The sequence below is a fragment of the Homo sapiens genome, chromosome 11 (genome assembly GCF_000001405.40).
Source record: "Homo sapiens chromosome 11, GRCh38.p14 Primary Assembly".
Taxonomy (NCBI): Eukaryota; Metazoa; Chordata; class Mammalia; order Primates; family Hominidae; genus Homo; species Homo sapiens.
The window spans coordinates 59,127,793-59,155,665 of record NC_000011.10 but is presented as its reverse complement, the minus strand read 5'-3'; the positions used below and the strand labels follow the sequence as shown (position 1 = coordinate 59,155,665).

General features: G+C 40.5%; 1 protein-coding gene, 1 long non-coding RNA gene and 1 pseudogene across 34 annotated transcripts, besides 3 other annotated features; 2 read left to right on the top strand and 1 right to left on the bottom strand.

The window, feature by feature from the left end:
- Window positions 627-12,810, bottom strand: FAM111A (FAM111 trypsin like peptidase A). 33 transcript variants are annotated; one of them, NM_001374857.1, is made up of 7 exons: window positions 12,720-12,810; window positions 12,362-12,583; window positions 11,971-12,169; window positions 10,770-10,857; window positions 9,810-9,839; window positions 6,713-6,830; window positions 627-3,916 (listed from the first exon to the last, which is right to left on the bottom strand). In NM_001374857.1, exons 6-7 carry the CDS (start codon window positions 6,791-6,793, stop codon window positions 2,162-2,164), a joined length of 1,836 nt encoding a protein of 611 aa, NP_001361786.1. In that variant the 5' UTR covers window positions 6,794-6,830; window positions 9,810-9,839; window positions 10,770-10,857; window positions 11,971-12,169; window positions 12,362-12,583; window positions 12,720-12,810; the 3' UTR covers window positions 627-2,161. The 33 variants fall into 33 exon arrangements, with proteins under 33 accessions (NP_001361786.1, NP_001361781.1, NP_001361783.1 ...); NM_001374852.1 differs by lacking the exon at window positions 9,810-9,839 and having other exon boundaries at window positions 6,713-6,822; window positions 12,697-12,810; NM_001374854.1 differs by lacking the exon at window positions 10,770-10,857 and having other exon boundaries at window positions 6,713-6,869; window positions 12,697-12,810.
- Window positions 2,954-3,083: an enhancer, noted in NCBI's record as "active region_4748". NCBI's record gives its function as "activates an Ori minimal core promoter by ATAC-STARR-seq in GM12878 lymphoblastoid cells {active_cell/tissue: GM12878}" and the evidence as "EXISTENCE:reporter gene assay evidence [ECO:0000049][PMID:35858748]".
- Window positions 11,115-11,224: an enhancer, noted in NCBI's record as "active region_4747". NCBI's record gives its function as "activates an Ori minimal core promoter by ATAC-STARR-seq in GM12878 lymphoblastoid cells {active_cell/tissue: GM12878}" and the evidence as "EXISTENCE:reporter gene assay evidence [ECO:0000049][PMID:35858748]".
- Window positions 12,593-13,042: an enhancer, noted in NCBI's record as "active region_4746". NCBI's record gives its function as "activates an Ori minimal core promoter by ATAC-STARR-seq in GM12878 lymphoblastoid cells {active_cell/tissue: GM12878}" and the evidence as "EXISTENCE:reporter gene assay evidence [ECO:0000049][PMID:35858748]".
- FAM111A-DT (FAM111A divergent transcript) lies at window positions 12,858-21,694 on the top strand. The gene is made up of 4 exons (NR_110184.1): window positions 12,858-13,051; window positions 15,499-15,709; window positions 19,385-19,609; window positions 20,078-21,694. It is a non-coding gene; the product is annotated as an FAM111A divergent transcript (long non-coding RNA).
- LOC100422399 (protein kinase cAMP-dependent type II regulatory subunit beta pseudogene) lies at window positions 13,036-13,579 on the top strand (annotated as a pseudogene).

Here is a 27,873-nt window from a genome sequence, read left to right as displayed (position 1 = left end):
ATTAAAATATCATTTAGGAGGTCAAGGGGTCAAAGGAAAGAATTCAAACTGTGACAAGAAAATCTAACTATTATATTATGTATAACTGTACTATAAGCATATAAAACGTCACTGAAGGAGGTAAGAAACAACAGGGTGACTGAAATAACTTTGGGAATGAATGGAATATATAAGACTAAAAGCAGGGAAATTGCACATAGGCACTGTATTCTAGTTGATAAAATTATTTCCCATTGAGGTAGAGGTTAACAATTCTGACACTGCTATATATGTATACTTGGATTAAGCAATTAAGTGAATGTGTGAGGGATGGCAGGCATCACGCTTCCAACTGTTTGGAGTTGGAATTTACAGATAAGCAAGGCATATATACATATGTGTACATATACATATGTGGGTAAATATACACACAAATATTTCTTTGCCCTGTCAGCTGAGGGGGCCTAAAAGAAACAACACGCCACCAGCAATGAGCATATCTAGTGCCTAGATCTTGGTTTCTAATGCCATTCTTCATTAAAAGTCACCAGGTGTTTCACGGTGAGCAGGTCAATGCAAACCTACCCCAACCTACCCCCAAAGACCAAAGAAGCTGAGAGGCCAAAGAAAGAGGCTGACAAATACGGTTTCTCAGAAAGAAACATTTAATAGGAACTTACAAACAGAAGCAATGTTTCTAGCAGCCACTAAATGGCGGCACTCACCCTCCCAAAAGTACCCTTTATATAACAAGCATTTTTGGCAAAACGTGTAGCTAGTCATATCTCAGACTTTCTTGTGAAACACCTGAACACTGGGGAGGTTAGATAAGCATCTTTATGAGGGGTTATCTGTACTACCGGCACTGTTTAAAGACATTGCTGCAGAATATCTTGGTATGCAGGAGTCAAACAGCAGTCATCATGCCAGCTGCTCTTCAAGATGACATCACTCTTACAATGCAACAGGCTGTTTTCCTACACTCGACCCCTCGAAACCAGTCCTTAAAATCTTACATGCCTGCTTCTTCTGTGATAGTCCCTGGACCTAGAGGGAGGGTGCTTGATATTGTATGGCTTTAGTAGTATTGCAATGGAAATGGAAAACAGATTGGGTCCAGTGGAATTCCACAAGAGGGAGATTTGCAGGCTTGGTTGAATCATCTATATAGTCTTCATAATACCATGAAGAAGTAAAACAATGAGAAATACATAACATTAATAATTGGAGTAGTAGAAATCTAAATAAAGTAATATGATGTTTAAGATATCCCTTGCCTTAATAGCCTATAAATATGGGAAGAGTGACTATCATCTTCTGAATTTCAAGACCCATATATTCCGACAGTTTCAGTAATATGAAGATTTTGGAAATTCTAAAAGGTTTTGAGATCATTTCTAATCAAGCATTTAGCTCTTATGTTAGCATTAATTGCAGCCCCAACTTTTGCAACTTATTGACCTGCACATTTTTCTGAGCACTTACTTTCCTTATGTCAGATGTAGGGAATCATGAGATGAACAAGTTTTGGTTCCTGCACTGTAGCAAATGAATTTAGGCAAAGATATGAAAGATGAAAAAACCCTATGACTATATGACTTTTAGTGTCATGAAACTGATTACTATATAATCTTGTTATTCTTCCCATTGCTTGACTTTAAAATAGGGCAAGTTAGCCAGGTGCAGTGGCTCAAACTTGTAATCCCAGCACTTTGGAAGGCCGAGGCAGGTGGATCACGAGGTCAGGAGTTCGAGACCCGCCTGACCAACATGGTGAAACCCTGTCTCTACTAAAAATACAAAAAAAAAAAAAAAAATTTAGCTGGGTGTGGTGGCGTTTGCCTGTAATCCCAGCTGCTCAGGAGACTGAGGCATAAGAATCGCTTGAACCTGGGAGGTGGAAGTTGCAGTGAGCTGAGATCGCACCACTGTACTCCAGCCCAGGCGACAGAGTGAGACTCAGTCTCAAAAAAAAAAAAAAAATTTGGGCAAGTTATAGTCCATCTCATAGTGTTGTTAGGACTAATTTCTTCATGTGCTTAGAAAAATGCCTGGCAGATAGGAAATGGTCAATATTATTATTATTGATAAGATGACCATTTTGGAGTTTAGAAAACCATTTTCAATGCCTATGAAATAACAACTCCATAAGCCATTCCCTTAAATCCAGTAGACTGAATTCTCACAAGTCCTCATCACTCATCATTTCTACATCCTGCTGATTTACAAATACTTCTTCATACCATGGTTTATGTCTTTGCTTAATATCAAGGAGGATGGATTCCATGGTAGAGCCAAACTCAATGATACTACGAGTCTCATTTTGGTAAGTATAAGCAAAGCCAGCAGCATGCATGGCCACCAATGAACCTTTTGAATCAAACACAGGGGAGCCGGAAGCCCCAAAGAAAAATTCAGTGTCATAGGTAATCACATCAGGGTTGTGAACTATTTTCTGGAAACTTCTTTGAGTATACATATGGACATACTCTGGACTTTCTGCTTTTTTAGACTGAACACGTTCCTGACATTTCTTTGCTCGCTGACCCTGAGGGATCACAGCACAAGCATCAATCTGCTTTTTTTCTCCATATGGATGGCCAATAATATGTATCAACCCACTAAGTGGCACAGGAGTAATTCCATTATATAGTTCCATAGGTACTTGTTGTCCATTTTCCTTCAGTTTCAGGACAGCATAGTCAAGCTCTTCATTATGTATCTCAAACCAAGGTTCAACAAAAAAGTAGTTTGTTTCCTTGTCTTTTAGCTCTTCATAACCAAATGTCACCCTTACACATTGACCAATTATGGTTGCCCACTTACTTGGCTCTATTCCGTCTCCCACAATGCTATCTATTACATGCCGACAAGTTAAAATGAACAATCCTTTAAAAACAAAGCAGGTGGCGTAACCCGTAGTTGCACTGTCCCAGAATAAGTACCCAACTGAGTCACTGAGACGTACAAGAAGTTTCACTACTTTAATCGAAGAAGAATTTTTTGTTACTTTCCCAAACGTTGTTCTATGCAATTCAAATAATGTTTCCCCATTTTTTACTTTCATTTTTTTCTTGAAGTTTTCAATGATTTTTTCACTTTCTCTTTTCAAACTGGGGTACTGAGCCACGATTTGTTCTCTCAACACACAGGTGTTTCTTTTCTCTGACTCAGGATTCTGAGAAGCTGCTGCACTGGGGACCATTCTTTTCTCAACCTCAACCTGAAAGTATCTGCCTTCTAATTCATCAACTGGCTGGGTGCTTTCTAAAATGGTGTCATTGTTTTCAATGAGTTTCCAATCATCATTCTCCAGAAAGGAAAGAAATCTGCCATCCTTGCACAGTGCATCCTTGATGGTTTCTCCTTTGAAAGCATAAACACAGAGTTTGCGCCCCTTTTTGTGAAGCTTCCCACATTTAACAATCCTTCTTTTACACTTCCCAATTCCAATTGCATGAATGTAAAATTTGACACATTCAGTCGATGCTTTGTCCTGCCTGCCAAATATGTGGTTATCTTCCTTCTGCTTACTTTTACTTTGGGAAAATGTAATGACCACCTGGCCACCTTCAGGGAAACAACTGAGGGGCATTCCAAGGTTTATGTACTCTTTGATTCCTTCTGTGCCACGCACAAGCATTTCTTGGCCTTGGTGAGTTTCTATCTCTTTTCTGACAGCCTGGAGAGTGTTGAGAGCCATATATAAGCTACTATTCTCACTATGTGTGAGCTTAAGTTTCATATCTTGGTTTCTCCTGTGGTTTACCTTCAAGGTAACATATATTGTCCTATTTTGGGGCATGGTCTGGTCTTCTGGATTTTTCTTAGGTGAATGGAATCTTTGAGCCTGGGTATTAGTTGTGGCTCTTGGGTCTCCTCTAGACTCCATCCTCATTAGAGAAGTACTGCAATTATTCTGTTGCTCTTTAGAGACCTAAAAATAAATGTTAGATACTTTAAAACTCTGAATGCAACCCGAGTCTTTTGTTTCTCTTTTCAGGTATGCAATTCACAAAATTCCTATGAGAAACTGAGAACCAATCTAAAAGGGCCAGTGAATAATATTAAATCAGTGTTTGACATGGGATCCAAAATGAAAGCGGAGCTTCCTATAACCTCTGTCAGATAAACTCTTGGTACCACTACACTAGTGCATTCTTCTGAAAAATATGAGGGAAGAAAAAATTTTTTCCCAGGTGCCTCAAAAACAGAGATTCTTAAAAGTTCACTAGTGGCCGGGCATGGTGGCTCCCACCTGCAATTCCAGCACTTTGGGAGGCCAAGGCGGGTGGATCACCTGAGGTCAGGAGTTTGAGACCAGCATGATCAACATGGTGAAATCCCGTCTCTACTGAAAATACAAAAATTAGCTGGGTGTGGTGGCACATGCCTGTAATCTCAGCTACTTGGGAGGCTGAGGCTGGAGAAATGCTTGAACCTGGGAGGTGGAGGTTGCAGTGAGCGGAGATAGCACCATTGCACTCCAGCCTGGGCAACAAGAGTGAAACTCCATCTCAAAAAAAAAAAGTCCACTAGTATTTGAAATAGTTTTATTTCAGGACTTGTTTATTATCTTCAGCTATATAATTTTTATATTTCCTGAGGACAATAATGAATTACAGCAAAAAAAAATTGTTCTTGAAATACTGAATTCAGCGATAAGCTACCGCAATTTATTATAAGCATTACATATTAAACAAAATCATTATTTAACTAATCATTTGGTTATAATGTAGTTATTTGTAACAATAAATACTTTGATTTGCCCAGCATATATCATGAAAAGAACTCTATTTTCTCTATTACATCAACTAATCCCCAAAGTTTATAAAATAAGGAGGAACAAACATGACTTATCTATCCTTTTGATGGAGAAACTAAGGCACAGAAAGTTTTTCTTGTAGACGTCTTTTCTAGGGTCACATAATAACCAATAAATAAAGTGAGTATCAAAATTGCAATTCCCAGTCCAATTATATTTTCCACTGGACTAGTGTATACATTCTTTTTTGTAAACTTTATATTTATGATTGCCATTTTTGTAGCGCATTATCTTAAGAAACGGGGGTGGAGGTGGGGAGAGGAATTAAATAAAGAGGCTTAATCAAATAGTAGAAACTCAGTGAAAAATTAGAGTGTCTGTTTCCTATGTCTAAAAAACACATTTTTCCCAAGTCATATTCATCATGGCATGGGTACCAGCAGATATGGGTCCGTATGCCAGCAATGCCCCTTACTACTACTGGGAATAACAATGCTAGGAATATTGTAAAGATTAAGTGTAGCATCATTGTATGACAATGCCTAGCACAATGACTAGCACATAATATGTTAACATTTGTTTTCCTTCTTTATACTAATATTCCAGATCAAAAATAAATAAATAAAAGGGACTTAAGGTAATGCAGATTTACCCTGGGCTCACATATAAACTCTCAAAGAGCATCCCTTCAGCCTAATGCTGTCAGAAACATCTTTGTCATGCACCCTATTAGAGTACTATAATAAATTTCCTATTTATTAAAATGATTCTTGGGCAGATATAGACACTTCTGAAAGGGGAAGAGGAATAGGATATAGTAATTAGCTCTGTCATGGAATAGGATAGAGAAAAACATAACTAAGTTTGCCTTAGACTTTTTAGATACTTGGATATTCTAGTTTTCCAGAACCAGGACAAAACAAAACAAGTTGAGAAATTGTAAGCTTCATACTCAAATGTTTACCATTCCTCAACTTTTTTCTTGATAAATTCAAGGAGAATTTTAGACTCAGGGAAAGATACAATGGTTTGATATGATAACAGAGCCCAATCAGTAGAAAAAGGCCCAACTACATGTCATTAAACTTAACTCCAAGTCTTCACTTCATTCCTGCCTTAAGCAACAACTCACTTTCTCCCTCTTCTCCAATAAACAAATTGAAGATTTGTCAGAATCCTTCCTGACTTCCTAACAAGGTTATGGTAAGAACAAATATATTAAAAAAATTGTTTTATAAACTATATTCAAATGTAGGTTATAATTACAATTGAATAGATCAGCCACGTTTGGAATGGTATATGTTTTCATGCTATGAAATGGTATTAATTTTGGTTTATTACATAGTTTACTGTAACATATTGTATTGAAGTTTTTGTTGTTATTCAAGAAATATTACAATAGTTTTTCATTAAAGACTGCTTTGATATAGCCAAGATTTGTATTACAACTCTCTTCCCCATGCCGCCCCCAAAATAGAAAGGATAAAACAAGTAAGGACAATTTTAGTTTATTTAATATGCCCAACACTCAAGGTAATTTCTTGGCAAGAAGAACTATAAAACCCAATGCCAAGGATAGGTAAGTCTAATATTGGTAAACAGGCTTTAGTATCTGTGAGTTCTGTATCTATGGGTTCAACCAACTGCAGATTGAAAATATTTTGGGAAAAAAAAAATGAGTGTGCCTGAACTAAACGTGCATGACTTTTTTTTTCTTGTCATTATTCCCTAAGCAATACAGTATATCAACATTTTACAGAGCATTTACCTTGTATTAGGTAATACAAATAATCCAGAGATGATTTAAAGTATACAGGAGGATATGATACATTATATGCCAATACTATGCCATGTTATGTGAAGAATTTGAGCATTCATGGATTTTGGTATCCAAGAGAGGTCCTGGAACAAATCTCACATGGATACCAAGGGATGACTAGATTACATAAGTAGAATTTACAGACATACCGGAGAAAAATAGTGCTCGATTTTCATATTACATTTTTCATTGACTGAGTGCTTCCGTGACCTCTGCTTCTTACAGCTCATGATGGCTTGAAGATGAACGGATGGTTCAGCTGAAACACTAATTTCAAATTTTCAAATTATAGCAGTATCTTCAAAGCTGTCATTAATTGTACAGAGGAAAAGATTAGCTGGTGTCCTGCGTCCCATCTTTCCCCTTAGGCTCCAACCTTGCTCTCCCTGGAGATGGTACCTTAGCAAATAGATAGTTTATTCACCAACTATAATCACCTTAACAATAAAAGCTCTCTTTTCGAGAACACTGCGTGTCAGGCACTTCATGAAAATTATACTAAACACTTTATGAAAATTATCTCTAGCTGCAAATTCCTGCGGATGCTATGCAAATTAGGTATAGCTACACTTTGCTGATGGGGAAAGTATAGCTTAGAGAAGGTAGACGAACTGCCCAAGGCCAGAGCTATGTGGCAGAGATGGAATTCAAATGCAAGTATAAATAATAGAATAATTTTCAGTTGGAAATTTCAAAAAGCTGTTCTAGTTACATTGATGTTAAAATCTGTTATTCATTTAAGATGAAGATGGCAAGGGGAGATAAAATTACAGGGAAGTGGTGAGGATAGAGCTGAGGAAAGAAACTTGGAATGAGATTTTAAAAAGAAATCTGGAAAGTTTGCTAGGGATGATAGTCAGAAACCTTAGTTGCTGCTTTAGATTTTTTGTTTAAAGAGGTATTTTTCCTTCTATCTCTCCTCTGATGTCTCCCTAGAAGAGGATGAACAAACTTTAAATAAAATAGTGACATCTTCAATAGTAATAAATACCGCTAGAAAGATAAATACCATTGAGGGCAGCAGCCATGTCTGTCCTTAGTACCTCAATATTTCAAAACAATGTCTGAGACATGTCAGGCCCTTGAAAAAGATACATTTCTAAAGATACATTCAATAAACGAATGGAGTAGGCATATGGTGTACTATGCCCTGTTCTAAGTGCTTTTCATCAACTATCTCATGTAATTCTTACAACCCTATGAGATAGGTACTATTTGTCTCATTTTACTGGCAAAAGAGCTTGAACACCCAGGGAGATTAAACTTTTACTCAAGGTCATAAAACTCAGAGAATATACTTTCAGGACTTTTTATTATGAACAATTTATTAGAGAAAAAATGAGAGAATGGTATAATGAACTTCTACATACCTATCACATAGTTAATTGTTCATTTTTTTGCCAATTTATGTAACAGTGAAACAGTAAAAGAACTAACATAAAGAACTCTATTTTTGTTCACGGGGTCTTTATCCATTCATGCATGGAGGGGAGGTTAATTTTAGAGCAGTGAGATAATATGCAAAAAAAATGTAGTTTTAAAAACTAGCTCTGGGATTAAAGGGAAAGTATGTAAACAACTATGGATTGTTAAAAATTTACAGGAGGGTTGTGACCTGGAGAACAAATATAAATATAATCTTTAGATAACTTCCATTTGACAAGAAATACAGGGGCTAGAACATAAGCTAAACAACAACATGTAGAAGCAGCCCAGGAAATTAACATTCTATAGAGACAACTTATCTGTTCTCTTCAGCAAATCAATGCTTGGGCTCACTGGAACATCAGGACAAAGACATTCCCAACCTTCTTGGATCCTTGATGGTGCTCAGATGTCTCCAGTCAATGGTCACCTCTTGATCGTAAATCCCTTCTCTTCCCCATGCCCTTAACATAAAGAGCCTGAAACTTGTACTCACTTAAGAGGCTACTTTGGGTTGCTAGTCTGCCATCTTCTCAGTTTGCTGGCTCTCTGAATGAACCTGCTTTTCCTCCCACCAACTCTCATCTCTCATGTTTGGCTTTGAGGTGTGAGTTGCCAAACCCGGGTTTGGCTACCCTTACACCATCCTTTTATTTTACTAGATGATTTATGTTACAGCTAGAAACATCATGACATTTAAACGCTAATGGTCACTTCCCATCTCTAAAAATTACATAATTTTTCTTTTATAATCACAATACTGATTTATTCATACCAAGATCCAACTGAGGTACACAGTTTCCTTTATATGTCTTATAAGGCTCTTTTATTCTAGAAAAAGCACTGATTTGTTGAAGAGAACAGAGAAATTGTCTCTATAGAATGTTCACCTCCTGGGTTGTTTCCTCATGTCATTGTTTAACTTATGTTCTAGCCCCTGTATTTCTTGTCAAATGGAAGTTATCTAAAGGCTATGTTTACTCTCGTAACCATTCCACTATGGAACAAGAGTCCTGGCTTTCTAGTTTACTGTCAGTCATTGACTAGGGAAATTCATTTAGCCTTTCTGAGCCTCAATTTCTTGTTTGTAAAAAGAAGCAATGATTCTAAATGAGATAATGAATATGGAAGTGCTAAAATAATGTTAGAACTTATAAAACTGTCTGAGTTCAAATATCAGGTAGCCACTTACTAGCTGCATGACCTTGGGCATATTAATTAACTATTCTTCCTTCATTTTCCTCACCTTAAGGTGGGAATCAACCTTGTTATAAAGATTAAGAAATATATTGTGGTCTGGGTGCGGTAGCTCATGCCTGTAATCTCAGCACTTTGGGAGGCCAACGCTGATGGATCACTTGAAGTCAGGAGTTCGAGGCCAGCTTGGCCAACCTGGTGAAAACCTGTCTCTACTAAGAATTAAAAATTAGCTGGGCATGGTGGTGGGTGCCTGTAATCCCAGCTACTTGGGAGACTGAGGCAGGAGAGTGGCTTGTACCTGGGAGGCAGAGGTTGCAGTGATCCGAGATCACACCACTGCCCTCCAGCCTGAGGCCTGAGCAACAGAGCGAGACTTCATCTCTCTCTCTCTCTCTCTGTCACACACACACACACAATATATATATACACACATACACACACATATTATATATATTATATATGCAATCTATCTATATATACAGTGTGTGTAAATATATATATATATAGAGAGAGAGAGAGAGCATATGCAAAGCCTTTAAAACACTGCCTGTATGTAATAGGTCCCCCAGTAAATAATCAATAAAAAGGTCATGTAAATGTTATCAATATCAATACACTCACCACAGGGATACTTTTTAAACAGCAGAGAACCTAGGAAAAAAAATAGAAAATGTACAATTGCGGAACTGGGCTATGTTGCAACATCCCTAAATGCAAGAACTTGTTGCCCAACTATTAAGAAAATCTAGGGATTCACTGTGTCTGTTCATGATGTCTCATCTTACGAAGTTTGAGAGAGGATCCGGGTGCTTTAGGAATGATTAATAGACACAGACAAAAAAAGGAAAATAAAATGGGCAGAAAGAAACATTAATTTTGCATGTACTTGAGCAATCACAGTGGAAAGGGGCAAGAGGTTAAGAAAACACTCCAATATCCTCCGTCTCCCTACATTGTTTTCAGTATCCAGGATAAATCAGATTATATCAAAATATAAAGTGCTCTTAGCTATCCTATACCAACCCCTGTTTTATACTTGACATCAAGGTTCTACTTACCTAAAGAACTTGCTTGACTTCCTACAGCAAAGGGATAAAGCAGTGCAGCCTGGGGCCCATGTCCAGCCCACCTGACAGCTCCCCTTAGGAATTTCTCTGTCTCTCAATCTCTCCTTCCTTCCCTCTCTCCTTCCCCCTCTCTGCCTCTCTCCCTTTCCTCCCCTCCTTCACTCTCCCTCTTCCTCTCTCCCTTTCCTCCCCTCCTTCACTCTCCCTCTCTTCCTGCTTCTCCGCACCCCAACCCCCACTTTCTGCCTTTCCAGGGGCAAGGGCAGGGGTCGAGGCCAACTCTAAGCCTCTTCCAATCCTACCACGCCGCCCCGCTCCCCCCAGCACACAAGGGGACTTGCAGCACTACCAAAATAAAACCTGTGTCCTCCCGGCTCCCCAGATGGGTGGCGCTGTCAGTCCCCGGCTTCCTGACACCCAGCTCCTTCTCCTCCCAGCCGGGACTCGAGCCCGCCGCGGCCGCGCCCGTGACCGCGCCCCGCGGAGCACCCCAGCGCCCTGTGTGCTCACTCACTGCGCGCCTCGCCAGCACTCGGCCTGGAATCCAGCGCTCAACGCAGTTCCCGCTCGTATTTGAGGAAGCAAAGGCTCCAGAGCTCCAGCTGGGCGGGAAACGGAGCAGGTGGGGCTAGGGGTTTGAATCGCCCGCCTTTTGGGAAAAGGTTGTCTGCGAACCAATTGGTTACTTTCTTTCACTTTTAAATCAGCCGTGCCTCTTCCGGCCTAAACCTCAGGTAGCTACAGCGTGCAGTACTTGACGCTGTGTTTATATCAGACAGCACTGCCAGTCTGAAACAAAACTTTCTGAATTTCCTAATCCCCAGAGCCAGCGTGAGAAGTAGACTTGAGCCTGTTCTCTTCCCTTGAACTTTTCTTTTACACGAGTACAACAAAAAACAAGAACAGAGACAAGTCGTAGTGTTGCTAGTGATAAGGCAGATTTTTCACCAAGCCTAAAAAGCTTTTAAAAATCTGGTCCCATAACCAAAGGGGTTCCTAGAAAGATTTCTTTATGCCTAGGGACAAAATAAACTCAGCGCTTGAAAAACTGAGCAAAAAGAAACTGGAGTTCAACCTGATGCAAGATCTACTTTCTCCACCTTTGAGATCAGGGAGAGCCTCAAGAAGGTTGAAGGGACTTCAGGGCACACACTGATTCTGAGTTGAGGGTTGGGAGGTTGATTAGGTCTTGCTGGAGCCTCCAAGAATGTCAAATGTTGGCTCCCAGTAATATCAAAGCAACCTGTTGATAAGACAAAGCTAAGTTTCTTGCTCACTTAGGTAATGGAGAACAATAACTTGACAGAATTTAAGTGGTGTCTCAGAGAGGGAAGAGCAAGTTTGGGCTATATGTATTGAGATTTTGAAGTCCCATTGTAAGTCTAATATTTAATGAGGGGAATTGGTTAGAATTGAGTCAGCTACGGGTAAAAGTTTAGGATTGGTAGATAAAACAAGGCTAGGATTTTGAGGTAAAGGTTCAAAGTCTTAGAATGTAAACTGTTCTTTGATGTTTTCCATTGAAGAGTGGTTGGATCTTTGAAGAAGATACTGGATTAAGCAATAAAGATATTTGCAACTTTCCGGTCCCTGGCAAAAGTTTCTTGAAATAGTAAATGTATGTTGATGAAAATAATGGAATAAGAAGTCAGGTTAATGTAGTTGGCAAGCTATGTGAGTGTAGATGGCTTCAGTTCTCACAATAGTGAACATACCTGATAATGTACTCAACATTTGTCACTTAGAGTATTTTATCCTGGAAAGAAGCGTAGTTGGGAAAACGCACTTGAGATGATGTTTGCTGCACACAGAATTCGGACACAGAGATGTGAATCTCCTTAGGAACCATTTTCATAAAGTTAACATTGGGTCTTAATAGACATCAGTTTTTAAAAATTAGAACAGGCTTGGGCACTGCAAAAGAAAGACACATCCGTTCACTTGGCTGTTCTTTTTAAGTTTCCAGGGAGAGCGTCAGTGCCCCTTTCAACAATAAAAGCCCGCAGGAGTGCAGATTTTATTTACCCTGTCCCCACCAGCATCCTGCTGCGGCCAATGAATCCTGGCAAAACTCCAGGTCAGCCCCAGAACCAAAGAGTAACTCACCTAAGAGGAAGGTCCGTTCCCACCAAGTCTCAGACGCCTGAACTCGTGATTTTTAGGGACTTTCCCTTCCAGTCCCTTGGAATCCAGCACTTTGGTTGGAGAACAGAACTCACTTGGGGAATGGCGCGTCTGGCCAATGGAATGAAAGATACTGGAGTTTGTCTTTTCTCTTCAGGCAGCAACTCACCTACTTCGGAAGCCGATTGGCTGCGCTGGGGACACCTGTTGGCGTGCAAAAAAGAGTGGTTGGAAAGGCAAGGCCGAGGGGGCGCGCCTACCCTACCCACCCACAGCGCTCCTCCTTGACGCCGCGAGCAGGACCCTGTCTCACTGACCCCGTGCCCACGGCGGTCCTTGCCTGCTTCTATTCTCCCGGTTTCCCCAGTCCCGAGTATTGGAAAGCGAGAGCGAAAGCGAAAGCATCCTAGTCGCCGGTAGGCTGGCCTGGGCCGGGCTGGAGAGGGAGCAGGAAATAAAAACTCGGGTGTGGGAGGAGCTGGGACGCTGGCGGCAGAGCCACTGTGGCAGCTTGAGTCTCGCGCGCGCAGGAAGCGGAGGTGGAAGTTGGGGCGCAGGAATGTGGCTGTCCCCGCCTGTAAATCATGGTTGGGGAGGAGTCGCGGAGGCACCAGGCTGGGGTCTGCAGCGCGCCATCTGCTGCAGCACACAGGAGGCGCTGAGGCTAGTTGGGTAAGTGGGGAGATTTCAGGCACTTCCGAGGGGGCGGCATCCCCAGCAGGTGGGATAGGCCCGGTGACTAGGACAAAATCACGAAGAAGCCGCGGATGCAGGAAGAGTAAACTCCCTTGTCATAAATCGATTCTCCAAACGTTCATCAATATGTGGAGACGTTTATGATAGTGATGAAGAAGATGATATGGGCTCTAGGAATATGCATCTCAAAGCTGATGATCGAAGAAGATTGGAGAGGGTTTTCAAGGCAGCCTGCTGTTTAAGGACCTGCATTCTGAGTAGATGTGTATTGGAAAAGGCGATTACAGTCACAAAGGGGACAACTTTTATGCAATTGACAGAGGACTATATGATGTATATAAACAGATAGGGTTGAAAGGTGTGTTGGTAACTACAAAACACATGGGAATTTGAAGGAAGGAACTGGCCTTAAATGCATGTACAATACACCAAGAGAAGCTAAAATTACTGCTTCATCTTCTGTGGGTTCTTTGGGGTTTGGATAGAGTAACCTTAAAACATATTTGAATGCTGACTTTTTCTATGAGACTCACTTTTGGAATCTGTGCATTCCTACATTCACAAAGGGTAATCACAGCTAGTACCCAGCATCCAAACAATAGCAGCCAATAATTCTAATCTGGAGAAAATTTTCTTTTCTCTCTCTTTCTCTCTCTCTCTCTCTTTCTTTCTTTCTCTTTCTTTCTTTCTTTCTCTTTCTTTTTTTCTTTTTCTTTCCTTCTTTCTTTCTCTTTTTTCTTTTCTTCTTCATTCCTTCCTTCCTTTCTTCCTTTCTTTTTTCTCTTTATTTCTTCTCTTTCTTTCTTTCTTCTTTCTTTTTTCTTTTATCTTTCTTTCTTTCTCACTTTTCTCCTTCCCTCCCTCCCTCCTTTCTTCCTTCTTTCTCTTTTGCCTGTTTTACATTTTAATGTGTAAGCAAATAGTGATTAAAGGACAATAGGCTTAACATTTTCTAAAACATGGGTGTTCAGAATTGAATATACTGATAAAATTTGTTTCCAAAAGGAAGGATTATATACTAGGTGGGAGTGTAAATTAGTTCAACCATTGTGGAAAACAGTGTGGCAATTCCTCAAAGACTTAAAAACAGAACTACCATTCAACCCAGCAATCCCATGACTGGGTATGTACCCAAAGGAATATAAATCATTCTTTCATAAAGACACACGAACACGTATGTTCCTTGCAGCGCTGTTCACAATAGCAAAGAATCAACCTAAATGCCTATCAGTGGTAGGCTGGATAAAGAAAACTCAGTATACCATTGAATACTACACAGCCATAAAAAATAATGAGATCATGTCCTGTACAGGGACATGGATGGAGCTAGAGGCCATTATTCTTGGCAAACTAATGCAGGAACAGAAATCAAATACTGCATATTATCACTTATACGTGGGAGCTAAATGATGAGAACACATGGACACGCAGAGGGGAACAACAGACGCTGGGGCCTATCGGAGGGTGGTGGATGGAAGAAGGGAGAGGATCGGGAAAAACAACTAATGGGTACTAGGCTTAATACCTTGGTGGTGAAATAATCTGTACATCAAACCCCCATGACATGAGTTTATCTATATAGCAGACCTGCACATGTACCACTAAACTTAAATAAAGCTTTTAAAAAAGTTTTCAATCTACGAAGTTGAGATTTACTAGAAAGGTTATTCAAATGACTTTGACATATTGAAATATTAGTGCACAAGGAGATAATAAAAAGTTATTATTATAGAAGATATAAAACTTGTACCACCTAATATCTGTGCAACTAAATCTACTATGTACCAAGATATTTATCAATATTCTTTCTGAAATTTTTATGTCGTTTTGTATAATTTTAATCATATTTCTTTTAAAAACATTTATGGCATGATAAGTTATGTGTTGGCTTATTGCGGAAAGGGCCTAAAATAACAATTCTTAAACTTTATATATATTTGCAATGAAATATATTTTGGCTTTAGACAATAGGAACATAACCTTTTTTTGGATGAAAGATTACTGTCACATTTTTTCTTCATTATCTGACATCTTTGTCATTTTCTTAACTTATATTACTAATTAAAGTTCCCTACCTTTTCAAAAGAAAAAAAGTCTAATATTGACATTTATTTATCTGTAGCAAACTTTAGCTATTGTTTTTTCTACTAATTTCAGGCAAAAATGAAGTATTAATTTCAGTTACAAAATATAGCTTAGTAAGATCTAAACCAAATAAAATTCACATTCTAAAGACTACAAACAAGTTTTAAAAAGATATTTTGGCCATTAAACTTATTTATTAAATTTAACTTTTGTCTTCTAAGAACCAGAGTTCTTACAATTACTATGAAGCTCCTATTCTATAATCATAGCCTGGGTTCCTTGTCAATGCTTCATTAAACAGGCTATTTTTTTCTTTTTTCTTTTTTCTTTTTTTTTAGAGACAGAGTCTCACTGTGTCACCCAGGCTGGAGTGAAGTGGCATGATCTTGGCTTACTGAAACCTCCATCTCCCAGGTTCAAGCGATTCTCATGCCTCAGCCACTTGAGTAGCTGGGACTACAGGATTTCGCCATGTTCCCCAGGCTGGTCTCAAACTCCTGAACTCAGGCAGCCCGCCTACCTTGGCCTCCCAAAGTGCTAGGATTACAGGTATGAACCACCGCGCCCGGCCAGTTTCTTAATTCTTAGACTAAATCTACGGGGGACACACTTTTGCCAACATTAGCTGCAAAGGGTTTTTTCCTCCACACTTAAGTCACGGTCAGTAAGTAGTTTTTTTTTTTTTCCTGTGTTTTTGTTTCCTTGTTTGTTTTTATTTGGGAAAATGCCTCTTTTGATAGTAATGAATTATTTTTTACACGCAAGGTCAAAAACAGCATGGAGTGAATTTTCTTCCACACGTATACACCCTTTTTTATTCCTGCCTCTGGCTGTAAATAGTTGCACAGTTAAAAGCAGGATGGACTTAACGGAGTATCATTTATATTTATAATTGCTGTATTTGTAATTCTGCTACAGAAATGAATTCTGTTATTATAATCAAAGGTTACACTGTTATCTGAATTCTTGAAAAATATGTAAAAATACTGCTCTTGTGGCTTTTCATAGGTTTATAGTCTATAAACACTAATTTTAATCAATAATTCATATCATTTATGATTAATTTTATGAGAAACAGATAACAATAATAGACATAGGCATAATTATTTTGTGACAGCTGGTGTGTTTGGAGTATTTACTATCACCCTTAAATATGATACCCTGGCTGGAAAACATTAATTTGATAACATACCTTTAAGAAATTATATAAAATATGCAAAAGCATAACCTTATGCACATTTTTAAAACAAGGCCTTCTTGTAGGAAAAAGATTACACCATGCATGAAGATGTTTTGTTTTCTATCATTATTTGAATTTATTTTAAAGGCCATTACTGCTCTGTGTGTGTATATATATATATATACATAAATATACATATATATACACACACGTATGAAACCAAAAATTCCAGGTTCATCATATTATACACAGATTTTCTTTTTTGTTGCCCTTATTCTTAATCATTGAAAGCACTGAAAATCAATACCTGTTTGATAAGATGTGCAATCAAGTTAAAAATATCACAGTTATTATATATAAAACTTTCTTAAGATTACTTTTGTAGTAACCTTTAAAAGGGGTGGTGGTGGTGTGGGATCCCTTGGCAAAGTCCAACTTGGCTGCTTAACTGCTTTCATTGGCCTGGCTAACACTTATGTCTGCCCACGGAAGCAGCAGGGAGTGTGTAGAGGGAAATGACCTCTGCTGCTGTACTGCTTTGAGTTCCTCTCTGAGCTTGGCATTTACATGTGTCTGTTTCATTTAATACTCTCAATAACCCTGTGGGGAAGGTGAGATTATCTTCGCCATTTCACAAAAAGCTTTAGCAAATAATTGTGCAGAAACATCCTTATGAGGATTTGTATTCCCATCTGAAACTAGAAGCCAAACTTATTCTATTGAATGATGGCTGCCTCTCAGATCTAACTGCAAAAAGGCACAGTGGCTTACTTCTTCCTAGTATAATGCTTTTTCATTAATCCAATAATCTATTCAAGGTATAAATTTCGGGTGGCAATTTACAAGATCCGGTGCCACATTCTATGAAGGGTAAAATGTTGACCCCTGCCCTCAAATAGGGAAGACAGAAGAGGTACACAAATAATATCATTTCCACATGGTTTCATTCATTTAAGAGATGTGTTAATTCCTACTTTGTGCCAGGTATTGTACTGGACATTGGGGAACAGAGGTGAATGAATATGATTCTCACATTCATGGACCCAGAGCAGTTTAATGCAATATTGTATCTAAGCCTAGTGCTTTTCCAGGTCACGTCTCATAGCCTATCCAATATATTAAAATGCACACACATTCTATATTAAATACACGTTTGCTGTTTAATCTAGTTTGAAGTACTTGGAGAATTGGAAGAACCAGTGGCCGAGTGTGGAAAATTGTTCTCAGATCTTCCCCCTTCCCTGTACACACACTGGTTGCCAGGTGCCTTTGCAGTTGCTCTCCACCCCATCAATGTTGGGCTTTGGGCAGTAGAATATAGACAGAATTAACACTGTGCTGAGCTCGACCCTGAAAGCCACTGCGTCTTTATGTTTGCCTCTGTCCTGGTTCTGTCGTTGCATGTAAAGAACATGCCCCCGCTAATACTGTCTCATAGAGGGCATGAGCCTAAATGAGGTAGCCTATGGGATGGTCGTGGAGATGTACCTGGCACGAACGCTCCGGAAATGGTATGGCGCCTTTGCCATTGTTACTTCTCTTACTACTACCATGTTACTCTGTTTTGATGGTCTAGATGATTGTGCATGATTTTTAGGTTTTGGATAAATATTACCAAATTACTCAACTACTAGCAGGAAAAGGTGATGTTCACTTCAATTTGAGGTCAAAAGTGTTGTGAGATCGGGATTCCTAGGATCCAGATCATAGACTCCAGCTCAGTCAAAGACCTGGAAGGCAAAGAACCTCTATGAGAGTAATGCCTTCATAAGGAGCCTTCGTTTGGACTCTTAAGGGGGTGTCGGCCCCATCAAAACTCCAGAGGCTGCTAGCCTTCCTCCTTCCAGAAAAGGGAATAACCACCGCGCCCATCCTAGCTGTGGCCCGAGGTTCGAGCGCCCAGGGCCGCAGGGACTAGTAGGGGCACGCGGTCTGCAGTGGCCTCCATCTTCCTGGTACCTCAGGAGGAAGAAACCCGCCCCGCTTTCCTCCAGACCTCACCGCCCGAATGACCCTCCAAGACCCTCTCAAGGCGCCCGCTGTGCTCCTTAATTCGGAGGCAGCCCCTCCACACCTGTGGGTAATTCTCATCAGGTGGGAGGAGGGACTGAGAAAAGAAATAAGACACAGAGACAAAGTATAGAGAAAGAAAAGTGGGCCCAGGGGACCGGCCCTCAGCATACAGAGGACCCGCACCTGCACCATTCTCTGAGTTCCCTCATTATTTATTGATTACCATTTTCACTATCTCAGCAAGATGAATGCGGTAGGAGGGCAGGGTCATAGTGAGGAGAAGGTCAACAAGAAAACGTGAGCAAAGGAATCTGTGTCACAAATAAGTTCAAGGGAAGGTACTATGCCTGGATGTGCACATAGTCCAGATTTATGTTTCTCTCCACCCAAACATCTCAGTGGAGTAAAGAATAATAAAGCAGCATTGCTGCCAACATGTCTTGCCTCCCACCACAGGGCGGTTTTTCTCCTATCTCAGAATTGAACAAATGTACAATCGAGTATTATACCGAGACATTCAGTTCCCGGGGCAGGCAGGAGACAGTGGCCTTCCTCTTATCTCAACTGCAAGAGCCTTTCCTCTTTTACTAATCCTCCTCAGCACAGATACTTCAGGGTGTCGGGCTGGGGGATGGTCAGGTCTTTCCCATCCCATGAGACCATATTTCAGACTATCACATGGGGAGAAACCTTGAACCATACCCAGCTTTCCAGGGCAGAGGTCCCTGCGGCTTTCCACAGTGCATTGTGCCCCTGGTCTATAGAGACTGGCGATGAATTTTACCAAGCATACTGCCTGTAAACATTTTGTTAACAAGGCACATCCTCCACAGCCCTAGAGCCGTTAAACCTTGATTCCATACAACACATGTTTCTGTGAGCTCAAGGTTGGGGCAAAGTTACAGATTAACAGCATCTCAGGGCAAAGCAATTGTTCAGGGTACAGGTCAAAATGGAGTTTCTTATGTCTTCCTTTCTACATAGACACAGTAACAGTCTGATCGCTCTTTCTTTTCCCTACAACCTCACAGCCCAAATGACCCTCCAAGACCCTCTGGAGGCACCCGCAGTGCTCCTTAATTTGCAGCTCTACAGAATGAGACCAGCGTGGCAGCCCCCTTTCAGGACAGCTCCCGAGACGAGACGCGAGAGCAGCCCCTAAATCTCACCCAGCAAAGCCGTTTCTTCCTAACCGGGCTGGGGAGTGCCGCGCGCTGCCAGCAGATGGCGACAGAGGATTAGCCTGCGGAAACCGGGTAAGGGGAGGGCGGAGCTGAGGTGAGAACCCACATCCCTCATGCCCAGTGGCAGCAGGACGTGGAAATGGTTTGCCCAGCCCTCACTTCTCTTGGACAGAGCTTGAGCCTTCTGGGAAACTGCTTTTCCCTGGCTGAGTGATTAGCGGGGGTGTTAAGTTGGGAAGCTGGACGTTCACTTCCATGTGCTCCTCTGAGAACCATCTGTTGGTCTGATGGTGCTAGATCTGAAGCTGGTGAGCCTCTTGGGGCGGCCTCAAGGGCTAACAAGATCTCAAATGCCCTTCTCTCCATCATTTGTGGTATCCTGGATTATTGTGAAAATGTATAGGGATTCCTGGGGAAGAGTTAAGGATTAAAATATAAAGGTTTAAATATAAATAACTTTATATATATATGTTTTTTCTTGTAAACCAATATGTTATATAGTAGGAAGTTTAATTCCTTAACTTTGGTTTTTCTCCCTAGCCTTTTTATAGCCAACAAGAGCAAAAGCACACTGCAATGTCCAAACGAATTGCAGGCGTTTTCTGCTCCCTGAAGCCTGGGAATTAATTTATATACTCAGTCCCTTTTCCCTTGGCTGGCCATTGAAGTAGTTGAACCACAGGATTGGACTGTCCAGAATCATTAGCCAGAGTTCACTGTGAGTGGACGTCTTTTAGTTCTGCTTCAACGCTATAACCAACCTTTACCAAAAGCAACAACAAAACAAAAAACTGCAGAAACCAATGAGTTCTGTTCACAAAGGATGGCTCCTCATGTCATCACACCGGCAAGGAATGGACGAGCCTCTGATTTTTCTCTTCTTGGCTGACTTTACAAGGTTGGATGCAGTCCATGAGGATCATGCAGCAAAGACAGAAAGTGCTGGAGAAGCCCAACCTGCAGGGCCTCACCTTTAGCTGGTTTGTGTGGTTCCACTTCATGTAGCTGTTGGAACACCAGTCTCTCTAATGTGCTCTATGGGATAGCTGTTACCTTCCACTAATTTATGTCTAATACCTATAAACCTAAAGTATCTTTTTAAAAATTTTATTCCGTCTTTTTGGAGGAAATTTTTGTGCATGCCAGATATAGTGTCAAGCATTGGGATTGCTAAGATGAACGTAACATTGTCCTCACCACCCATTAAGTCACAATCTAGTAGATGAGTAAAAGTAAAAAAAAAAATTAAAAAAAGAGTTATAACCATAATACAGAAGTGAACAGGTTGCAGTGGTAGCACAGAGAGGGCTTCAGGGATGCTGTCACAGAGGTGGTAACATTTGAGATATAGATTCCAAATTCAGATGTGTTTGCTGTTGCAAAATTCCAGGGTCTATGTGCCCAGTTCCTGAACATTCCAGTGATAATTTTTACCTAAAATTTAGGTGGCAAATGAATCTTACTATAACCACTTGGAACCACTGTGTTTCTGGTCCATCTTGTGAGGCCCATCTTTGGTTCAGAGGGATGGAGGCAGAAGTCATACGGCAGGTAAGCTCAAGCAGTGATACATGACAGGGCTTTCAGAACTGGGGCCATGAAGAGCAGGCTTTATTTGCATGCTGTTTAAAAACAAGATTTTACAACTGATTTACCCTATTAAACACTTCCATGAATAACTCAGTGGAGATTTATTTGCAATAGTAGGATCAGGTGATTTGAAATCTTTAGTGTGTGTGGTTGTAGCAGGAGGAGTACTGGGTTCCAGCATTTAATAAGAGGACCCATGGTTTTATGAAAATGTCCAGAGATATAATTTTGGTTAAGGTTATACCTCATCTTTGGTTGTACAGTTGTTTCTTTTAGTTTCAGTACAATCTAAAACAGGAAATGTCAATTCACATGGTCTGGTAGAGAAAGAATGACTCTAATGCTCTACTATTCAGGTAGAAATGAAGAAAGAAGGGTGATCACTTCCATGAGCACTGTAAGCCCTTGAATGGGCTTATAGGCAAATACTTATAGTTAAAATATGTAACTCCCATTTTAGTATTGGATAGAATACTGTCACATTTTTTCTTATTAAATCTACATTTTTACCATCTTTCTTGATTGATTTTGCCAATAAAAGTTCCTTACCTTTTTATAAAAGTCAAAGATTGACATTCATTTTTCTGTAGGAAATTTTGTCTTGTAGAAAAAATTAGAAGCCAAAGATAATATAACCTTCCTCCAAAGAGACTTTACCATTAATTTTTGCAAGCAGCTGGGTGGGAGTCACTTGTAGTCCTAGATTACATTAACCTAATTTAGATTGAGGTGATTTCAAATTGACTTGTGTCCCTGTGAAGGCTGAGATATTTCTGGAACATTTTTATTCCTTGGGTACAACAACTTTTTACCCATCCAAAATCCTGTGGTGTTTATTAGGTTTCCTACTAGCTGACAGGCTTTAAACTCTGACTTTTTCCTCCCTCAGCTTCACGATTCGAACTCAAATGTCTGGTCAGCTACTCAGCCATCTCTTCCAAGCTGTCAGGTTTCCCTAAGGTAAGAGCCATACTGATATGGTTTGGCTCTGTGTCCCCACCCAAATCTCATCTTGAATTTTAATCCCAATAACCCCCAAGTGTCAAGGGGGGAATCTGGTGGGAGGTGATTGGATCATGGGGACAGTTTTGCCCATGCTGTTCTCATGATAGTGAGTTCTCATAAGATATGATGGTTTTATAAGGGGCTATTCCCACTACACTTTTATCTCTCCTGCCACCCTGTGAAGAAGGACATATTTTCTTCCCCTAATTCCATGATTGTAAGTTTCCTGAGGCCCCCCAGCCATGTGGAACTGTGAGTGAATTAAACCTCTTTCCTTTATAAATTACCCAGTTTTGGGTATTTCTTTGTAGCAGTGTAAAAACAGATTAATACAGGAAATTGGTACCAGGAGTTTGGGGCACTGCCACAAAGATACTTAAAAATGTGGAAACCACTTCGGAACTGGGTAACAGGAAGAAGTTGGGACAGTTTGGAGGGCTCAGAAGACAGGAAGATGTGGGAAAGTGTGGAACTTCCTAGAGACTTGCTGAATGGTTTTGACCAAGATGCTGAGAGTGATATGGACAACGAAGTACAGGCTGAGGTGTTCTTATATGGAGATGAGGAACTTATTTGAAACTGGAGCAAATGTCACTCTTGCTATGCTTTAGCAAAGAGACTGGAGGCATTTTACCCCTGACCTAGAGATCGGTGGAACTTTGAACTTTTATTAGTCCATTTTCATACTGCTATGAAGAAGTACCTGAGATTGAGTAATTTATAAAGAAAAAGAGGTTTAATGTACTCACAGTTCCACATGGCAGAGGAGGCCTCACAATCATGGTGGAAGGTGAAGGAGGAGGAAAGCCGTGTCTTACATGATGGCAGTCAACAGAGCATGTGCAGGGGAACTGCCCTTTATAAAACCATCAGGTCTTGTGAGACTTATTCACTATCACAAGAACAGCACAGGAAAAACCCACCCCCATGATTCAATTACCTCCCACTGGGTCCCTCCCAGGACATATGGGGATTATGGGAGCTACAATTCAAGATGAGATTTGGGTGGGGACAGAGCCACACCATATAATTCCACCCCTGGTCCCTCCCAAATCTCATGTCCTTACAATTCGAAACACAATCATCCCCTTCCAACCGTCTCCCAAAGTCTTAACTAATTGCAGCATTAATACAAAAGTCCAAATCCAGAGTCTCATCTGAGACAAGGCAAGTCCCTTCCACCTATGAGCCTGTAAAATCAAAAGCAAGTCAGTTACTTCCTAGATATAATGGGGGTAGAGGCTTTGGGTAAATATACCCATTCCAAATGGGATAAATTGCCAAAACAAAAGGGCCACAGCCCCCATGCAAGTCCAAAATCCAGCAGGGCAGTCAAATCTTAAAGCTCCAAAATAAGCTTTGACTATATGCCTCACATCCAGGTCACACTGATGCAAGAGGTGGGTTCCCATGGTCCTGGGCAGCTCTGCCCCTGTGGCTTTGCAGGGTACAGCCCACTCCCCCTTCCCCGGCTGCTTTCATGAGCTGGCATGAAAATGGACATTGGGCAAACTCACAGTCTGGCATGAAGCTTTTCCAGGAGCATGGTGCAAGCTGTTGGTGGATTTACCATTCTGGCGTTTGGAGGATGGTGGCCCTCTTCTCACAGCTACACTAGGCAGTGTCTCGGGGGGACTCTCTGTGGGGGCTACCACCTCACATTTCCCTTCTGCACTGCCCTAGCAGAGGTTCTCCATGAGGGCTCCACCCCTGCAGCAAACTTCTGCCTGGATATCCAGGCGTTTCCATACATCCTGTGAAATCTAGGTGGAGGTTCCCAAACCTCAATTCTTTACTTCTGTTCACCTGCAGGCCCAACACCATGTGTAAGGCACCAAGGCTTGGGGCTTGCACCCTCTGAGTCAATGGCCTGAGCTATATCTTGGCCCCTTTTAGCCACAGCTGGGACACAGGGCACCAAGTTCTAAGACTGCACAAAGCAGCAAGACCTGGGGTTTAGCCCATGAAACCACTTTTTCCTTCTAGGCCTCTGGGCCTGTGATGGGAGGGGCTGTCATGCAGACCTCTGGCATGCTCTGGAGACATTTTCCCCATTGTCTTGGTGATTAACATTTGGCTCCTTGTTACTTATGCAGATTTCTGCAGCTGGCTTAAATTTACCCTCAGAAAATGAGGTTTTATCTTCTATCACATCGACGGGCTGCAAATTTTCTGAACTTTTATGATCTGCTTCCCTTTTAAACATAAGTTCCAATTCCAAATGATATCTTTGTGAATGACTAAAACTGAATGCTTTTAAGAGTACCCAAGTCACATCTTGAATGCTTTGGTGCTTAGAAATTTCTTCTTCCAGATACCCTAAATCATCTCTCTCAAGTTCAAAGTTCCACAGATCTCTAGGGTGGGGCAAAATGCCACCAGCCTCTTTGCTAAAGCATAGCAAGAATGACCTTTGCCCCAGTGCCCAAGTTCCTCATCTCTGTCTGAGACCATGTCAGCCTGGAATTTATTGTCGGTATCACTATCACATTTTGGGCAAAGGCATTCGACAAGTCTCTATGAAGTTCCAAACTTTCCCACATTTTCCTGTCTTCTTCTGAGCCCCCTAACCTTTTCCAACCTCTGCCTGTTACCCAGTTCCAAAGTTGCTTCCACATTTTCAGGTATGTTTACAGCAGCACCCCACTCTCTGTGATACCAATTTACTGTATTAGTCCATTTTCATACTACTATGAAGAAATACCTGAGACTGGGTAATTTATAAAGAAAAAGGGGTTTAATGGACTCAGAGTTCTACATGGGTGGGGAGGACTCACAATCATGGTGGAAGATGAAAGAGGAGCAAAGGCACATCTTACATGGCAGCAGGCAAGAGGGAGCATGTGTAGGGGAACTCTCCTATATAACTATCAGATCTTGTGAGACTTATTCACTATTGCAAGAACAGCATAGAAAAAACTCATCCCCGTGATTCAATTACCACCCACTGGGTCCCTCCCAGGACATGTGGGGATTATGGGAGCTACAGTTCAAGATGAGATTTGGGTGGGGACACAACCAAACCATATCAGAACTTGAGAGAGATTATTTGAAATTGGAACATATGTTTAAAGGGAAGGAGAATGTAAAAGTCTGGAAAATTTGCAGCCTGACCATATGGTAGAAAAGAAAAACCCATTTTCTGGGAAGAAACTCAAGCTAGCTACAGAAATTTGCATAAGTAACGAGAAGCCAAATCTTAATTGCCAAGACAATGGGGAAAATGTCTCCAGGGCATGTCAGAGAACTTAGTGGCAGCTCCTCCCATCACAAGCCTGGTTACACGGTTAGGTGGAAAAGACAAGTTGTATGTAGAGATCATTATCAGAAATTGCTAAACTCTGTCATCAAAAACTCTGTTGGAATGGATTTTAAAATTTCTTAATAAAAGATGAAACATGACTTTGGTTTAGTTTTTGAAGTGGTGCACTCTCCAGAGATTCTGTATTCAACACTCAGTCCTGGGAAGCCAGTAGTATTTATAATAAATTTTATAATGCTCATGCAAATGCGAACCAGATACTGGCCCACAGTAAACGCTAGTAGGAGGATGGACATCTCTTGGCATCACCTAGGAAGTTTTCTTGGGAAAAAGTCAAAACTGAATATTACCAAACCTCTAGATCTAACTACCAGTTTACAAGAAATACTGGGTCTACAGCTACACATTAAATGACATCAGGTGGATGAATGGTAAAGTGCAGAATGTGGAACACTTCATAGAAACATGACTTTCTTCAATAAGCAAATATTAGAAAAAATAAAAAGGGGAAATACACACATTAAATTGTGACTTTAGAGACTCACATAACCAAATATAACGTATAGACTTTTTGGATTCTGACTTGAACAATCCACATGTAAAACAAAAATGAACAAATCTAGAAGTTAGGGAAAGGTAAACACTTAAGTTATTAAAGTTTTATAAGCATGTTGACAGCACTGTAGTTTTATTTCATAAAAAGTACTTTTTTTTTACTGTAGTAGTAATTACTCAATTATGCCTGTGTCAGAATTCATAGATCTGTACACCAAAAGAATGAATTTTCCTGCACATAAATACTAGATCAATATAACTAGACTTAAAAAAAGAAATGGCCACTGTAAACAGACACAAGAGAACACCTTGCAGGACAAAGTCTGGGGGCATGAAGGACAATAGTGAAGGACATTCCAACTCCAAAGAGAAGTAACCAGGACTCGCAGTATGAGCTAATCAAAAATTGTACTCCCCTGCCAGAGCTGGACATCATGTAAATTCCTGCACAACAGAATTTGGTCATTCCATAGGATTGTGGCTGCTATATTTCCCATTTATCCTTTTTTTCTGAATAAAAATGTAATTTATTGGATTATGTTCATACTCCACTATAGTATATTGGGTATGTGGGTGGAGCAGGAGGAATGCAGGTAAGTCTCTGCACCATGGGGAGCTGCATTCAGATGTGCTGAAGAGAAATACACATTGCCCAGAAAATCTGGATCATCTTGGCAAGTGGGTAAGTACATTTCACATGTGGAAAGGAGAGGACATACATATACTAGAGGGGTGAGATGGGTAGTGAGTAACTCCTGGTTACTTCTCTTAGGAGACTATGACTTTGCCCAATGTCCATTTTCCTTTTATTCCAGTTATAGAATTTAGGCTGGGCATCTGGAATAAGCATTACATTCCACAGCCTCCTTTCCAGTGAAGTGAGCCATGTAACTGAACTGTGAACACTGGGTGCGAGCAGACATGGTATATGCCATTTTCAGATGGTGTTTTTAATAGGAAGAGGTGCTCTGTCCTTCCTGATCACTCCTGGCTGTAGTAGAGGTGTGTTGGCTACTTTAGCAGCCTTTTTGGCCATGTTGCATGTTGAGGACCATAGTATAGCCTCATTGAAGAAACAATACCTTCACAGGTTGGAATTCCCATGACCACAAAGGACTGCATTTGGACTATTATGTGAGAAATAAACTTCTCTCTTAAGTTCCTGTTGCTGGTTTTGGTTTTTTTTTGAAATTCAGTATGCTTTTGAATAAAGATTAGCATTTCTGAATGAACAATTTATGTAGGTCAGATTTACAGGTTTTGCACAACTGAGACTATCACATATTTGGAAAGTCCAACCAATTGCAAGTTATCAAGGAGGGTACACCAGTCAGGATTCAGTGCAGGTTAAAGAGATTTAATACAAGGACCAAGTGCTGGAAATCTTTAGGATAACAGCAGTGAGGATCAGGAGGCCAATACTGGAATTATTAGGTTTATGAACACACTCTCTTACCTGCAATCCAGAAATCAGAAAACTCAATTAGGAACTATTACCATCAGAAATACCTCTGCACTCCATCAAAGTGAATGAATAGACACTGCAACAGTTTCTGGTTGTTGCTACTGCTGAAACCACTTGTAGATACCCAAGAAGCTGATGACTAGACACTGACACCGAATATAGTCAGCAGCACTACTATCTCTAGACACTCACTTTTTGATGACCCAGCTTCCCAAAAGATGGAGCGGAAGAAAGAGGACCCCCACTTTACTTTTGTCTTACAAATAGTATCTATTTGGAGGAATCTCATTTGTATTCAGAATCTTACTTGCAAATTAGTCTGAAATATGTAGCTTCTAGCTTTCTAGACTCTGAACATAAGAGGATGGGGATGGAGACTGAGCAAGCTACTCTTCTCATCTGCCAAAGAGTTAGCTATTGCTGAATTAGAAGAAAGAACTGAAAAATTGGAATTTTCTA

What these genes read in the sequence shown, in the direction of transcription:
- FAM111A (NM_001374863.1), bottom strand. Translation starts at nt 6,793, where the DNA reads ATGAGCTGTAAGAAGCAGAGGTCACGGAAGCACTCAGTCAATGAAAAA. An exon ending in TCGAGCACTATTTTTCTCCG is followed by an intron (nt 3,917 to 6,712) that starts GTATGTCTGTAA and finishes ATTTATTTTTAG; the next exon opens with GTCTCTAAAGAGCAACAGAA.